Genomic DNA, 17,736 nt, shown 5'->3' on the forward strand with positions numbered 1-17,736 from the left:
CAGTATCTGAAATTATGTAATCTACACTGCCATGTGTAAATGTTTGGTGATTTTTCCCTACCACTAGCTTACCTTATACTGGCCAATCTCATGGATATTTTGTTTGATATTTTTTTCTTTAATGCTATTACTAATTAGGTTCATTTTGTCTTAGCGTCTATGTATGTATATGCATAAATGCAAATCATGTGGATTTTTTAATTTTGCCGAAATTAGTGGTTTTTTCTTTATATCAAATGGGTAGTGTGCCAACATCATAAGTTTAGAGAAAGGCTTATCTCATATCTGAGTATAAACACCCAAATCATGCTTATGAATTACGAAAGGATCTGAAATTCATTATCTTAAACATTATGTATGAAATTTGTTAACCCTGACTAAATTGCTTTGGGTGATAGATGGATTGACTCAGTCAGGGAAATGACCAGAGGATTGCAACACAGGAGAAGTGATCACGCAGATACCTGGAAGTGAAGAGACAACAGCCTCCTAACAGAGGGCCAGGACAAGATGAGTAAGCCATAATCTTTGAAAGATTTTTCACGAACATTTGGAAGACACTGGGACTTCTGTATTCGGTAACAAAGTAGGACTGACTTCAGAATACAGGAGAAACGAGATACACAGACACACTGATTTCTGTACATATGCTACGTATCCATATATATGTAAATTGTTCACAGTCATAGGAGATGAATTACACACAAATCTATCTCTAACTAGTGAAATTAAGACCAAGTTTACATGATGACCTCAAATTGGCGCCCAGCAAACAGTTCAGCTATAAGGTATTAAATCTGATTTTCCCCCTTGACTAAAGTTATTATTTCAATATGTCATCAAGTTGTTCTTCTATTAGTACAAGTTCAGACTTCTTGAAAAAAATGGATCCGTTTTAGTATTAATCTCACATAGCTGAAGATAAAAAATGAAAGCATAGGTATGTCTCTTCTGTATAGGACTTCAGAATTTAATTGAGGAGGGATGTCAGTCATACATACACTAAAAACAAGACAAAAATGGGCCTTCTGTGGAATTTGGGAGGGAAAAATTAGCAAAGGTAATTTGGGAAAAGCTTTACTGAGGTGAAATCAAGGTTTCTGGCAGACAGTTGGGGTAGACAGAAGTACAAAAAGAAATACAGGCAAGTAAAATAATACAGGCAAAAACCCAGAGATATCTGACAATATATACCGAGAAAAGAGTGGCTTAGCGTTAAGTGTTACAGGAGGCAGGCTGGGGTAGATAGGATTTTTGCTAACTGACTTTGAACGACAGCTTCAGTTTGTATAATATGACAAAATCTGTGTGTGTCTGTGTGTGTATGTGCATGTGCTGGGGAGTTGTAATGAAGGGCAAAGATAAGAGACGAAGGCTATGATTTAGCAGAATTTGATAGGTAGAACAGTTATTTATGACTATAGACTGGGGGCTTAAACTCTACTTTTTAGAATAGCAATCTAAGACGATTATTTCAGTCAGGGGATTTCAATTTGAGTTCTTTCCCCCCCCAGTGTAAGACCTTGATCAACATGACTTCACTGATCTGTAATCATGTATATCAATCATGTATCTTCACAGGAATGCTCTGAAGTTAGACAAGATAATAGTTCAAGAGGAAGTGATATTTTCATCACATATGCTATCACGTATTACACTATAATGCCTGTACCTTATTTTGCTATCCCACATGTATAAACTCATACAGGTTCCTTGTAAAATAACTTCAAAAATACACAAAAGTACAAAGATAATTTCTCAAGTCATTATGTATAAAAGCCTTCATTAAGATATTTGATAAGATAGATACCAAGTAGTAAAACTGAATAATATCTATTAATATAAATTGTATTACTGAAATTTTTACTTTTTCTGCAGGCGGTAGAGTATGCCAAATGAAAATCATACGAGGTTGCTTTACTAAGGAATAGGTATTGCTGTTTCAATCAGTACCTAGTCATTCTACTAGATGTCATAAAACTATGTTGTCAGTTTCTGGTCTGAAATTCTACTAAGTTTAAAGTTAACTTTCTTAAAAATAAGTCACATACCAGTTTTTGCCCTGTCAGGCCTTCGAGGAGGTCTAGGAGGCGCCTCCCATCCTGTAGGTCACTGAAGAGGTTCTCAATATGCTGCTTCCCAAACTGAAATTAAAAAAAATACACTCAATTTAACAAAGCACACTTCCAATGATACATTTTCACGATTATCCCCTTTTGAAAACTAAAGCTATATTTAAGGATAATTAGTGTGCATAATTAATCTGCCGAAGATGACGGATGAAAAAAGGAAAGTTCAAATGACAAAAAAAATTTAAAAATTTTATCATAGGTCAAGTCTATTTGAATTAGTTTGAATAGCAAGAGTAAGAGATTTATACCCTAAATGATCTAATTAATTCACTGAAATGAATATAGATTCTATGAAGGAGAGAAAAAATACAGGCATGATCAAGGCAGTTACGGGTAAAGGGAAAAGTAAATACACAAAGAAGCAAAAGACCACAATCTACCTGGGTGGGTACATAAAGTTTAACCATTCTTGGAATATACCAGTCAGAGTGGTTCGACATCCTTATCACTCAAAACATGCTTGCTGTGCATACACATTTTGCATGCTATGACCTATTCTCATACTGGATAACTCAAATTTTAGGAATATCGGGTTTAATTAGGTTTGAAACAACCCTGTGAGAGCTTTTCATCTATTTTACTCAGTTCTTTGCTCAGGAATTATACTAAGGAAAAATAATAGTCAATAAATAATATTTAACATTTTTAACGTAAATACTCATGAGACACACTATTAAATGAGTGGATTTCATAACCGTTGTGGCATTTCTGAGATTAGCAGTAACATACTTAACCTCTAAGTATCTCATGTAAGATGAGTATGTGGCTCTTTGTCATGAAACTAGAATGGGGTAAAGCCAAAATTATGGCTCAGATCTGTCTAATTCTGGGTTCTTGTTCTTTCAATCTTATGTTGCTTCCTTGTCCTTTTATAACCTACTATTTGATTATCTTTCTAACATTTGTCTTTCTTTTGTCATACTTCACCAAATCGTTTTCTGCTTAAAACCCTACAATCCCCTCATGAGGTAATTCCCAGCTTTTTCATCACCTATCTGGAAATCCCTAATTTAATCAGTCAAAGACATATTGAGCATGAATAAACCTGAGCTAGGTACTGAATCATATGCTAGTACATCAGACATAGGCCCAGACCCTATAGAACTTAGAGTCCAGCAAAGAAAATATTCCTAAAAGGTACTATTACATAGAAGCATTAGAAAGGACTAAAGAACATGTAACAGTGGGAGCTCTCACAAGCCTTGGGATCAACAAATACTTTCCAAAAAACGTCAGGTGATGGGTCTAACATTAGCCTTTGGGTGACTGTGCTCTTTACATACACTCCTTGGATCACATATAAACTTTGAATTTCACACAAGTCAAGAAAATCCCTGGTTTCCAGGCAAAAGACATCCCTTAAACTTCCACGATTAAAAACATAGGATTTAGACTATTCCTACAACCAGGTAGCCATGTCAATGACAAGACCTGTAAATGCCCGGGTACTTCAAGCAGGGAACAATGATACCTGCGGCAACCAACCAGTCCCTGTGTGCCCAGCTTTGTGAATCCAGCCACATATATACTTAGACAAAAATTATGAGTTATTCTTTTGAAATTCTACTCAAATAGATCCATTTTCAAATTCCATGGGAAAAAGAACATAACACAAAACCCTAACATGCTAGAATTTTTAAAGAATAGCTTTACTAGGAGGGAGGCAGAACAAGACGGTCAAATACATGGAACCTTCCAGCAATCATCTTTCCCGCTACCGCTGCTATAGAAACACCAAACTGAACAGATAGCCACACAAGCAAGCACCTACATAAAAACCAAAAATCAAGTGAGCAATCACAGTACTTGATTTTAATATCATATCAAGGAAAGAGGCACTGAAGATGGTAGGAAAGACAGTTACGAATTGCCAACACCACCCCTCCCCCATCCCCTGGCAGAGGCCATGTCTCATGTAGACGATCTGTGTGCTTGCAGGAGGGAGGGCGCAGGATTGTGAAACGTTGCATTGGAACCCAGTGCTGCCCTGTCACAGTGGGAAGCAACACAGGGCAGAATTCATCAAGCGCACATAGAGGGCACATTTAGACCAGCCCTATCCAGGGAGGTATCACCCATCTCAGCAGTTAGAAGCTGAGTTCCAGCTAGTCTCACCAGTGTGAGCTCAAGCACTTTGGGGTCCTAAATAAACTTCAAAGGGAGTCTAGGCTACAAAAACTGCAATTCCTGGGCAAGTCTTGGTGTCGTGCTGGACTCGAAGTCAGGGGACTTGGTGGGCACACAACCCAGTAAGACACCAGTGCTTGTACCACCCCATCCTCTAACCCCTAACAGTGCAGCTGACAGCTTTGAGAGAGACTGCTTCTTCCACTTGAGGAGAGGATAGGGACAGTAAAGATGACATTGTCTTGCAACTTGGACACAAGCTCAACCACAGTAGGATAAGGCATCAGGCAGAGTCCTGAGACCCCCCATTCCAGGCCCTGGCTCCTGAGTGACATTCTTAAATACACCCAGGGCCAGAAGGGAACTTGCTACCTTGAAGAGAAGAATCCAGTCCTGGTAGAATTCGTCACCTGCTGACTAAAGAGTCCCTGGGTCCTGAATAAGCAGCAGTAGTAGCCAGGCAGTATTCACCAAGTCTTGGGTAAGACTCAGAGCCATGCTGTCTTTGGGTGTGGCCCAATGCATTCCCAAGTGTGGTGGCCATGGGGATATACTCCTTGTGCTTTTGGAAAGGAGAGGCAATAGAGTGGACTTTGTCTTGCAGCTTGGGTACTAGCTCAACCACAGTCAGGTAGACCATCAAGCAAGCTCCTGGGTTCTCTGATTGCAGGCCTTGGCTCCTGGATGGCATTTCTGGACTCACCTGGGGCCTGAGGAGAACCCACTGCACAGAACGGAGAGACCCAGGCCTCGCAGCGTTTACTCCTAGTTAACTAAAAAGCTCTTGGGCCTTGAGTGAACATCAGTGGTAGCCAGGCAGTACTCACCATGAGCCTGAGGCAGTGGTAGCCATGGGGAAAAATTCCTCTGCTTATGAAATGGGAAAGGAAGAATGGGACAAACTTTGTATTGTGGCTTGGGTGCCAGCTCTGCCACAATAGAAGAGAGCACCAGATAGATTCATAAAGATGCAACTTCAGGCCTTGGCTCCTAGATGGCAAGCATCAAAAGTCAAGGATAAAGACAGGATCCTAAAAGCAGCAAGAGAAAAGATACATTCCAAAAAGCTTAACAACAACTAGTAACAGGCTTCTCAGCAGAAAACTTACAGGCTAAGACATGTCATGCCATATTTAAAGTGCTGAAGGAAAAGACCCTTTATGCTAGGATAGTGCATCCAGTGAAAATCTCCTTCCAACAAGAAAGATAAAGACCTTCCAAGACAGAAGCTGTGGGATTTCATCAACACCAGACCTGTTCTACAAGAAATGCTAAAGAGAATTTATCAACTGGAAAGAAGAGGACCTTAACTAGCCAGAAAAACCATCTGAAGGCACAAAACTCAGTAAGTACAGACAAACACAAACTATTGTAATACTGTAATTGTGATGTATGAACTACTCATATCTTGAATAAGAAGAGTAAAAAAAGGAAGCTTTCAGTTAACAAATAACTCTAATAACTTTAAGACATAGACAGTATAATGAGATATAAACAAACAACAAAAAGATTAAAAGAGACGAAGTTTGAGTTTTTAATTAGTTTTCTCTTTGCTTTCTTGTTTATGCAACCAGTGTTGTCTGTTTGAAATAATGGGTTATAGTGTTTGTAAACCTCATGGTAGCCTCAAATAAGAAGATATACTAAGATTCACAAAATTTAAAAAGCAAGAAATAAAAGCATGCCACTAGAGAAAAATCGCCTTCACTAAAAAGGAAGACAGGATGGAAGAGAAAGCCACAAAACAACCAGAAAACAAAATGGTAGGAATAAGTTCTTAATAATAAAACTGAACATAAATGAAATAAACTCTCCAATCAAAACACAGTGACAGAAAAAAAAAAAAAAAAACAAACAACAACAACAACAACAAACACCAAGACTCAATCTGTTGCCTACAAGAAACACGCTTCACCTACAAAGCCAGACTTAAAATTAAGGGATGTAAAAAGATATTCCATGTCGATAGCAACCAAAAAAGAACAGGAGTAGCTATTCTTACATCAAACAAAATATATTTCAAGACAAACTGTAAGAAGAGACAAAGATCAACATATAATAAAGGAATCATTTCAGCAATAAGATATACCAATTGTAAATATATACGTACCGAACACTGGAGCACCCAGATATATAAAGCAACATTATTAGACCTAAAGAGAGCTGGAAACCTCAATACCCCACTTTCAGCCTTGGACGTCATCAGGCAAAAAGTCAACTAGGAAACATTGAACTTAATCTGTACTACAGACTAAATGTACCTAATAAATATTTACAGAACATTTCAACCAACAGCTGCAGAGTGTACATTCCTCTCATCACCACATGGAGGATTCTCAAGGATGGGCCATATGTTAGGCCACAAAACAAGCCTTAAATTCAAAAAATTGAAATATAAAGTATCTTATCTGACCACAGTTGAATGAACTGAGAAATCAGTAATGAGGAATTTTGAAAATTATACAAAACACAAGGGAATTAATCTATATTCTCTTGAATGATCAGTGGGTCAATGAAGAAATTCATAAGGAAGTTATAAAATTTCTTGAAACAAAACTGTAAACACAGCATACTAAAACTTGTGGGCTACAGATAAATCAGTACTAGCAAAGTTTACAGCAATAAGCACTTGTATCAAAAAAAAAAAAAAAAGAGAAACAATACATCTTAAAGAACTAGAATAGCAAACCAAACTCAAAATTAGATTGTGTCATGAAGACATGCAAAACCCGAACAGACCAACAACAAGTAATGAGATCAAAGATGTAAAAAGTCTCCCAGTGAAGAAAAGCCCGAGACCTGATGGCTTCACTGCTGAATGTTACCAAACATTGAAACACCTAATACTCAAACTATTGTGAAAAAGAGGAGGAGGAAGTACTTCTGAACTCATTCTGTGAGGCCAATATTAGCCTGACACGAAAACCAGACAGATATCCAGAAAACAAAACTGCAGGCTATTATCTCTGACAAATACTGATACAAAAATCCTCAACAAAATACTAGCAAACCAAATTCAACACAACATTAAAAAGGTCATTCGTTATAACCAAGTGGTATTTGTCCTAGGGATGCCAAGATGGGTCACCATATGCAAAAAATCAATGTGATAGATCGTATGAACAGAATGAAGGACAAAAACCATATCATTTCAATAGATGCTGAAAAAGCATTTGATAAAAATTCAACATGCCTTCATGATAAAAACTCTCAAAACTGGGTATAGAAGCAGCATACCTTAACACAGTAAAAGCCACATATGAGAAACCCACAGCTAATTTCATACTGAATGGGGAAAAACTACAAGACTTTTCTCTAAGATCTGTAACAAGGATGCCCACTTTCACTACTGTTGTTTAACATATTACTACAAGTCCTAGCTAGATCAAAGAAAGAAACAAAGGGCATCCAGATTGAAAAGGAAGAATCAAATGATCCTTGTTTACAAAACTAGGAATCCCATTACCTGACTTCAAATTATACTACAGAGCTATACTAACCAAAAATGCATGCTAATGGCATAAAAACAGACACATAGACCAATGGAACAGAATAGAGCCCAGACACAACTCCACAGACCTAAAGTAAACTCATTTTTAACAAAGGTGCCAAGAACATACACTGAAGAAAAGACCATCTTTTCAATAAATGGTGCTGAGAAAACTGGATATGGATATGCAAAAGAATGAAATTAGACCCTTATCTCTCGCCATATACAAAAGTATCAATCTAAGTGGAACAAAGACTTAAATCTAAGGCCTCAAACTATGAAACTACTACAAGAAATCATTGGGATAAAATCTCCAAGACACTGGTCTAGGCAAATATTTCTTGAGCAATACCCTACCAAGCACAAGCAATCAAAGCAAACATGCACAAATGAGACATCAAGTTAAAAAGCTTCTACACAGCAAGGAATACAATCAACAAAGTGAAGACACAACACACAGAGTAGGAGAGAATACTGGCCAACTACCCACCTGACAAGGAATAACCAAAATCTATAAGGGGCTCAAACAACTCCATAGAAAAAAATATATATAATCATCTGATTGAAAGAAGGGCAAAAATTTGAATAGAGATTTCTCAAGAGATGACACAAATGTCAAAGAGGAATATGAAAAGGTTGTCACTATCATTGATCAGAGAAATGTAAATCAAAACTACAATGAGGTATCATCTCACCCCAGTTAAAATGGCTTATATCCAACAGACAGGCAACATCAATGCTGATGCGGCTGTGTGGAAAAGGGAACCTTGGTACATCGTTGTTGGGGATGTAAAGTAGTAGAACCACTGTGAAGAACTGTTTGAGGTTCTTCAAAAAAACTGAAAACAGAACTACCATATAATCCAGCAATCCTACTGCCGGGTATATACCCAAAAGAAAGGAAATCAGTTTGTCAAAGAAATATCTGCACCCTCATGTTTATTGCAACCCTATTCACAATAGCCAAGATTTGGAAGCAATCCAAGTATCCATTAACAAATGAATGGATAAAGAAAATGTGGTACATATATACGTAGTGGAGTACTACTCAGTCATAAAAAAAAATGAGACGCTGTCATTTGCAACAACGTGGATGGAACTGGAATACATTGTATTAAGTGAAATAAGCCAGGCACAAAAACAAACTTTGCATGGGCTCACTCATATGCAGTAACTAAAAATTAAAGCAATTGAACTCATGGAGACAGAGAGTAGAATGATGTTTACCAGAGTGTAGTATGGGTAGTTGGGGACAGGAGGAGTGGGAATGTTTAGTGGGTACAAAAATCTAGTTAGAATGAGTAAGATCTATTTGGCAACACAAGAGGGTGATTACAGTCAACAATTTACTGTACATTTAAGAATTTGGGCCAGGCACGGTGGCTCACGCCTGTAATCCCAACACTTTGGGAGGCCGAGGCAGGCGGATCATGAGGTCAGGAGATCGAGACCATCCTGGCTAACACAGTGAAACCCCGTCTCTACTAAAAATACAAAAAATTAGGTGGGCTTGGTGGCGGGCACCTGCAGTCCCAGCTACTTGGGAGGCTGAGGCAGGAGAACGGCGTGAACCCGGGAGGCGGAGCTTGCAATGAGCCCAGATAGCATCACTGCACTCCACCCTGGGTGACAGAGCAAGACTGCGTCTCAAAAAAAAAAAAAAATTTGAAGTGGAATGTTTGTGGCACAAAGAAAGGATACATTCTTGAGGTGACAGATACTTCACTTACCCTGATATGATTATGCTTCGCATGCCTGTATCAATATATCTATTTACCCCCTAAATATACTATGTATCCATAAATTTAATCTAAAACAAAGCAACTTTACTATACATAATATACACATAAATCTTAAAACAGTGCCATTTTAATGAAACTTTAAGGAAAGCTCTCTAGTAATAAGAAAATAAATTTACACTTTCTAATAGTGCTGCCAAGAACTTCATATCTAACCTGGAATAATTTGGTATTTTGAGTGTAATAATTTGTTTTTCAAATTGAATGAAGGTATACAATGCCATTAAAATGATGTGTTTTTTTCCCTCCTTTGGCCAGGAGCAAAATTTCACACTTATCTGAGCAAAGCATGACTTTTAAACTCATCAAAAAATAATCTTATGCACTGCAATGTGTCCATTGTTGAAGAAAATATAGTTAACTGTTAACTGACAGAGATACTTGTTTTTATGAAAAGAAAAAATCCAGGGTAGAAAGTTGAAGTCTGTCAGACCAAGAAGTATGTGCGTGATAAACTGCTGTTTATTCAAAAAGAGGAGCAGAGACTGGGAAAGGTGAGAGAAGTCTTGGAGTACAGAATAAAACATGAATCCCAAAGCCATCAGGATCATATAGCATCCAAGACACAAGGACTACGTTTGGGTTTGGAGACAAAGTCTAGGCAAAGGTCAAAAACGCAGACAGAATCTTGCTTTGTGGGCCAAACTTAAATACATAGACCAAGGTCTTTTATAAGTCTTCTTTTAAAACTGGAGGTAACCAAAATGGAGAGGGAGTAAAGGATTATAGGTCAGGTAGGGGATTCCATGTACACCTAGCTGGGGCACCGAGAGAGAGAAAGCAGTGAGGTGATAGAGAAACAGTTCCTGCTATCGTATTATTTTCGAAACTCACAGAGTCAATGATATATTAAAGTATCACAATTGAAATCCAATTTCTATTAGTCATATTCACCATATTCTCTAATAGAGTGCTTCTCAGAATATTCTACCAGAGCATCCTTCCAGGAAATGAAATTGAAGGAATTTACCCTGGAGTCTGGCAGTATAAATTACACAGTGCCTGCAGGTTTTAAATTTCTTTGAAAGCATATACTTTATGCTAAAAATTCCTAGAGATTTTGCCTTCTTCTTTTAATATATGCTTGTTTCAACGTAAAACTATTTATTTATCATTTATTTTTTGAGACAGAGTCTCGCTCTGTTGCCAGGCTGGAGTGCAGTGGCGCAATCTTGGCTCACTGCAACCTCCGCCTCCCAGGTTCAAGTGATTCTCCTGCCTCAGCCTCCCAAGTAGCTGGGACTACAGGCATGTGTCATCACGTCCAGCTCAGTTTTGTATTTTTAGTAGAGACGGGGTTTCACTATGTTGGTCAGGCTTGTCTCCATCTCTTGACCTTGTGATCCGCCTCCCTCAGCTTCCCAAAGTACTGGGATTACAGGCATGAGCCATCACACCTGGACTTATGTAAAAGTAATTTTAAGTACTTTTGAGTAAAAATCTCCCCCACCCCCGTTCCCACGGTCTGATGTGGTTTTTTTTTTAGTGAAATGTGCTACATTTAGCCTGTAACTTTATAGACCTTTCGGTGCTCAGTTTTATTCTCCCTGTAGTATGAATACCCCAGGTAAAATCTAACATACTATTTCTCTTGGATGGTTCTAATTTTCCTGCCTGCAACTTACTCTATAGAATTATAGATACTATAGCAAAAGTAACCCAAGTTTCAGAAGCAGAAATAGCTAACTTCTGAACTCAGGTCTCTCACTCACTCACTAGCTGTGTTATCTTGGGCAAGTGACAGCCTTTCTGAGGCACAATTTATTCACTATTAGAATGGGGCTCAAATTATTACTCCAGAGCACTCCCGTGAGGTTCAACTGCAACACATAGGAACGTTATACAGATTTGGCAAATCGTATGCACTCAATAAATATAGATTGATTTTTATGTTTCATTTTAACACTATTTGTCTGCATCTCTTTCTTTGACCAAATTCTAGGTGTAAAAACGTTTAACTCGGCCAGGTGCAGTGGCTCACACCTGTAATCCTAGCACTTTGGGACGCTGAGGCAGGTGGCTCACTTAAGGTCAGGAGTTCGAGACCAGCCTGGCCAACATGGTCAAACCATGTCTCTACTAAAAATACAAGAATTAGCTGGGCGTGGTGGCACACACCTGTGATCCCAACTACTCGAGAGGCTGAGGCAGGAGAATCGCTAGAACTAGGAAGGTGGAGGTTGCAGTGAGCCGAGATCGTGCCACTGCACTCCGGCCTTTGTGACGAAGCAAGATCTCACACACACACACACACACACACACACACACACACACACACACACACACAAGTTAAAGTCTTTTCGATAATATAAAAATATTATATTAGAAAGTGCAGAATACATGTAAAATGTTTTCTATTAGTTTGGCATCCCTGTGGGAGTGCAAGTCAATAGGGGAAGGCATTATTCCCTATACAATTACTAAAACTGGTGAATGCAGATGGTACAGAGGATGCACTTAGAAACTTGCTTTTTCCTCCCTTTTCTTGTTCTTTTGACTATTTTTAAGTATTCTTTTGTTGTTCTCCCCTTTCATCTTCAACATACACCATGTCTTTGTTGCAGGTGGCATTTTATATCCTAAGAACAATATTTTTTCTTTAAAATTCAACCTTTAATGGCTTCCTTTTCAAGTGTATGAGAACTATTTTGTGAAGCACACAAAACATGAATTCCTCCTTGGGCCAGGCGACCCTGTAGCTCTCTGTCTTCAGTTCATTTTATGACTAAGATTTCCCTTATCAAGTGAACTGAGTGGATATCTGATATTACTCAGTTTAATGTATCTGCATATATATTGTCTTTGTTAACCCAAACCACAACACGAAAGGACCTAAAAACGAGACAGTATTCCTTCCAAATCCTTTTTAGTATGAAATAAAGAAATACGGAAGCACAAACAGTGTTCAAAAAGAAACACAGATAGGTAGGTTGACAAGTGGCATAAATAAAGTGAACCAAATCAAAGTGGAACAAATCAAAGTAAAAAAATTTGAGAAAGGAAATGCATTTGTGAAGGTGTTTAAGTGGTTTCTGATTCTTCAGAGTTGTATTGGTCTTTTAACCTGAAAATCCAAAGGGATCAATACGTTTCAGTAGAAAGTAAAGAACACAGGGATAATTTAGCATGACCTTCTGATTACAAAAAGGACAAGCCATGGACATAACTGTCGCTAAGAAAGTCAAGATACTTCTGCAATTACAAATCCCTAGACATTGGAAACACCAAAAATATCGCAAATACCACAAAGAATTGCAAAACTGGGGATTCAAAACTTACTGAAGAACGCTGCTGACCAGCTCCCAGAAAAATAAGGCAACCCATTTTCATGTAAATAGGAAGCTTTCCGAGTTGATTTTTTTTTTGTTTTCTTAAATATGAGTTGGAAAAGGTATTGTATAATAAAGCAGTATTCTGTTGCGGAATAATATACATAGAGGAAAGTACACGTCTTAAGTGTACAGCTCAATGAATTGTCACAAACCGAACATATTTATATTACCAGCATCGAGATTTAAGAAACAGAATATGATCAACACCCTAGCAGCTTCCTCACACCCCCTATGTGGAAGCTCCCCTCAAGAATGGCCACTATGACGACTTGTGGCATCATAGGTTAGTTTTCTCTTGAAAGGAGTCACCTAAAGATAGAAAAATGCTGGTTTTGTATTTTGAGTTAGAATACTAGTGACTGAAATACATTAGATTTATGCAGAGGGAATTTAGAAAAAAGTCACACTGATAAAATATGCTTTGGAAAACACGGGGGAATGGTATGATGCCATGAATAAGAATGTTGACTGTACACCCAGAATGCCTTGGGTTCAACTCCCAGCTCTGCAGTGTGATCTTGGGCAAGTAACTTCTCCGTGCCTTACTCTTTTCATCTATAGAAAGAGCATGTATCATTACCTATGTTGTGGTGATATTGCAAAGATTTAAGTGAACTTAGTATGGCACTTTGTAAGATATATTCTGTAAGTGTTAGCTATCACACGTTTATTCCAAACTTTCTAAGCCAAATAATCCATATCGTCTATAACTTTCCTTGTAATGTTGGCCTCAAAGTAACAGAAGGGACCAACTTCAAAATATGAGAATTAAAAGGGTTAATAAATGTAAGATGTCTGGTATGGTACCTAGCATAGAAAATGCTCAATAAAAACATTAAATAAATTACATTCCCTCCTGTTAAATGTTATCACCTGGAGGTGGAGAATGACACTCTCCTTTGAAATTTATATGGCCATAGCAGGACTTTGGTAATCTGAGAAGAGTTTAATAAGGGACTGTTTATAAAAATGAGGGAAGGTATAATGAAACCACTGGAACTAGTAATAGAGAAGTGTCACTACTACTCTTAGACTCCTAAGAATGAAAAGAAGGAGAGTGGTTTCTAGTTACTACATAGAGAGAGAACTGAGAAGAGAAGATTATCTGACAGGAGCTTTGATATTGGGTGATGGAATTTCTTTCCTCTCTCCCTCTCTTACCAAGGCTCTCATTGGCCAAATCCAACTAGTAGCCAGAGGGCAAAGGAGCCTGTTGATGTAGTCCACAGACATCAGCCTCCCAAGGAAGACAAAAGTGGAGAGTAGGGCCAAAGAAATAAGCCAAAGACATTCACCACCCTAGACATGGAAGCAAATTTCCTTTGAGCCAAGGAGATCAATGCCAGGGATGTCCATATCAGAAAATAAATGAAGGCCTACGTGTTACTTCCCATGCCTCATATTTCTATCTCTGGTGATGTCATTGTAAGGAATCATATGTATCACTGGAACACCGTCGTCTTCTTTAATAGTGATATCAAAATACTGGAATGTTTTGTGGACCTTAGCAGATAAAATCAGTAGGTATTTATTCATTATTCCTTAGCGTCAAATACTTGTAGAGACTTCTCTCTACCAAAAAAAGCACGAAAATCTGGCTATGAAGATCATCAAGAAAAAGCCAAGTTATTCCTTGCAGCTAGCAAGTGTTCAAGAGCAAAGCTACAAAATACAAGTTTTTATAATCTCTCCAGATATAAAATGTTATTTGGCATTTTATAAAGCATCTTAACTAGAACCCAATATGTATGTTACTCTATTAAGTACACTAGAAATGATTCAAACAGATGTGCATTCGAACTTTAAATAGGAAACCACACCATCGTTAATGGAAATCAAGTTGTTATATGTAAGTGGGATGTTATGAACCCAGAAGTATGCTTAACAAAAAGTCAGCATGATTCATTGTCTGATCAGGTCTATCCTTAACATGTTTTGTAATAAAACTAACTTCTAAAGCTAGGTCTCAATTGTTTTATCTTTAAGTTAGGTCAGTACTCATTCATTTTACCAGGTATTCTAAAGGAAATATTAATAAAATTATGGTAAATGCTTTATCTTATATTTTTATGTATTAATGTAATTCACAAAGTTATTTTAAAATTTGTGGAATGATTACAATCCATGATTATACTAATTACACCACCTTTAAATATCCCCTATAAAATTGAACATTCTGAAAGTTAAACCCAGTTTTTTGTTGTTGTTGAGACTCTGTCACCTTGGCTGGAGTGTAGTGGCGTGATCTTGGCTCACTGCAACCTCCGCCTCCCAGGTTCAAGCGATTCTCCTGCCTCCGCGTCCCTAGTAGCTGGGATTACAGGCGCGAGCCACTACGCTTGGCTAATTTTTTTATATTTTTAGTAGAGACGGGGTTTCACCTTGTTAGCCAGGCTGGTCTCGACCTCCTGACCTCGTGATCCACCTGCCTCAGCCTCCCAAAGTGCTGAGATTTACAGGCATGAGCCACTGCACCAGGCCTAAATCCAGTTTTTCTTTTGATTCACATAGATACATGATTTGCATTTGAGATAGCCAGTGATGGAAATGAAGGCTAATTACAATCTATCCCAATGGTTGCTTTTCTGACAGAAACGGTATGGTACAAGGTTGGCAAGATGAAGCACTTTGTTTCAAAGCATGCAAATAACACTGATTCTTCAAAAAAGAAATCTATAGGCTAGGCGCAGTGGCTCATGCCTGTAACCCCAGTACTTTGGGAGGCCGAGAAGGGCAGATCACTTGAAGCCAGGAGTTTGAGACCAGCCTGGCCAACGTGGCGAAACTCCACCTTTACTAAAAATACAAAAGTTAGCTGGGCATGGTGGCACGCGCCTGAAGTCCCAGCTACTTGGGAGGCTAAGGTGGGAGAGAATCTGGGAGGCAGAGGTTGCAGTGAGCCAAGATTGCACCACTGCACTCCAGCCTGGGTGGCAGAGTGAGACTCCGTCTCAAAAAAAAAAAAAAAAGATTGTGTTTATACACACACACACACACACACACACACACACACACACAAATACACACATATACCATGACATAATGGAATGGCTCACTAGACAAACATCTATGAGTACTCAGTTCCAGGGAAATTGCAGAGAAGAAAAGTGATATTTAGGCTTCAGATCTAGTAGAGGAAACATTATGGACAAAGGGCATCCAAAGATGACTTTAATTAATGAATGTAAAACGTATTTATTACCATTCTTATAATTTCTCAATTACCCTACGGTGCAGTTGTGTATGGACAATATAGGTGACAAGACACAGCTTCTTCCTAATTATTCCCATCCTCCACCTACTGGGAAGTCATCCTTGGTTTATTCATTCTTTCTTCTTCCATGCCTGTAAGGGTCTGTCTACAGGAAGTTCCAAATCAAAGAAATTGGAAACACAGAAAAGATAAATGTCACATAGGATACAATATTTAAAGAAGATCTTCTGTCAAAAGTCACAGAGGATAAAATATTTAAAGGAGAACGTCTGTCACTGCTATGCTTTATTTCCTTTTAGTGGTCCAACTTTATGCAATTTCCAATTCTGAAGTCAAATATTGTCAAATATTACAATTTTTATATGACTCTACCTCATGTATCAGAAAGATGCGAGTTACACACATCGACTGGTTTATGTCAGCGCTACTTCTGTGTACTTTTTGTGGGTTGTTTTAATGTTCACAGTCACCCCCATTTTACAACTGATGAAACAGACACAATATAAGTAACTTGAATAAGGTCACACAGCAAGTAAGTGCTAGATACTAATTTGGACTTAGGCAGTGTATCTACAGATCTCTACACCATTCTTTACTTTGCAACTGCTGTTTAAGCTGGGCTTGACTATCATCACATTCAGGGGCAAGGGTTAGGTGAGTTTTACTTGAGCCTTTACGTCATCTTTTCTACAAAGATAGTTTAATATATCTTTTCTTTCTTCTATCATTTCCAAAAGGTCAGATACAGTTATATAGCCTGCCAATAAAATTGCTCCTAATTGTAGGTCCCATTTGTAATGGAAAGATAGTAACAGTGATAATTCTACATATATACATTAGGAAAATTCTTCAAAGTCCCAAATTCCTATTGTTATATCATTTGACATCGGGGGTTTCATTAACTCCTCAGGACTCCAGTGTGCTCAGCAGACTCAATTACTAAATACTATTTTAGAGCACACTGCAAATTGTTCGAATGTATAATTCACTCTAATGTATTTGAAAAATGTGGCTTTTTATATTAACTAAAGAAGAAATATCATTCAACAAAAACTTAAGGCTATATAAATCAAAATATAAGAAATATAATCCTTGAAGTTGATAAGGATTAAATGAGGTAGTAGTAAACAGAAGAAAAAGTTTAACTAGGGCATTTAGTGTAGCCATTTCTTAAGATCCACTGAAAAGTGCCAGTTCCTTACTTGAAAGTCTTCCATGTGAGATTCGGTGTAGTTGTAAGTTAAATAATATAGTATCTGGAAGCAAATAGGCCTTTATTTATTACAGTTCTATAATTTAAATTTTGCCAGTTGTGTGAACACTGATAAATTACATAGCACTTGGCTTATTTTCCTTATGTGTCAGACGAGGGGGATAGTCATTCAACTAAATGTAACCAGTATTATGCATCATACTGTCCTAAGAAAAATGGGAAGATAAAAGATAAAAACATACTGCCACTGTTTTCACAGCTTTTGTAATAGCCTAGGAAGGAAATATACATTTAAGCGAATATAATTATAGCATGGTGTTATAATCCTATTAATAGTGATTTTTTTGTCGTAAGTATGGTGCTGGCACAAATAAAAGATATCTTCACTGGAGAGAACAACAGAGTGAAAATCCCTGAATAGAATATACA

At 37.8% G+C, this 17,736-nt stretch overlaps 1 protein-coding gene and 1 non-coding gene across 18 annotated transcripts in view; both read right to left on the reverse strand.

Moving 5' to 3' along the window:
- DMD (dystrophin) overlaps positions 1 to 17,736 on the reverse strand; it is a 2,220,167-nt gene that overhangs the window by 1,728,455 nt on the left and 473,976 nt on the right. For all 17 annotated transcript variants that reach the window (XM_006724469.4, NM_000109.4, XM_011545467.2 and 14 more), the window contains 1 exon segment: positions 2,052 to 2,144. In XM_006724469.4, the coding sequence (XP_006724532.1) occupies positions 2,052 to 2,144 (93 nt within the window).
- Positions 231 to 329, reverse strand: LOC124905283 (small nucleolar RNA U13). Its single transcript, XR_007068445.1, has one exon. It is a non-coding gene; the product is annotated as a small nucleolar RNA U13 (small nucleolar RNA).

This window comes from Homo sapiens, chromosome X (assembly GCF_000001405.40).
Source record: "Homo sapiens chromosome X, GRCh38.p14 Primary Assembly".
NCBI lineage: Eukaryota > Metazoa > Chordata > Mammalia > Primates > Hominidae > Homo > Homo sapiens.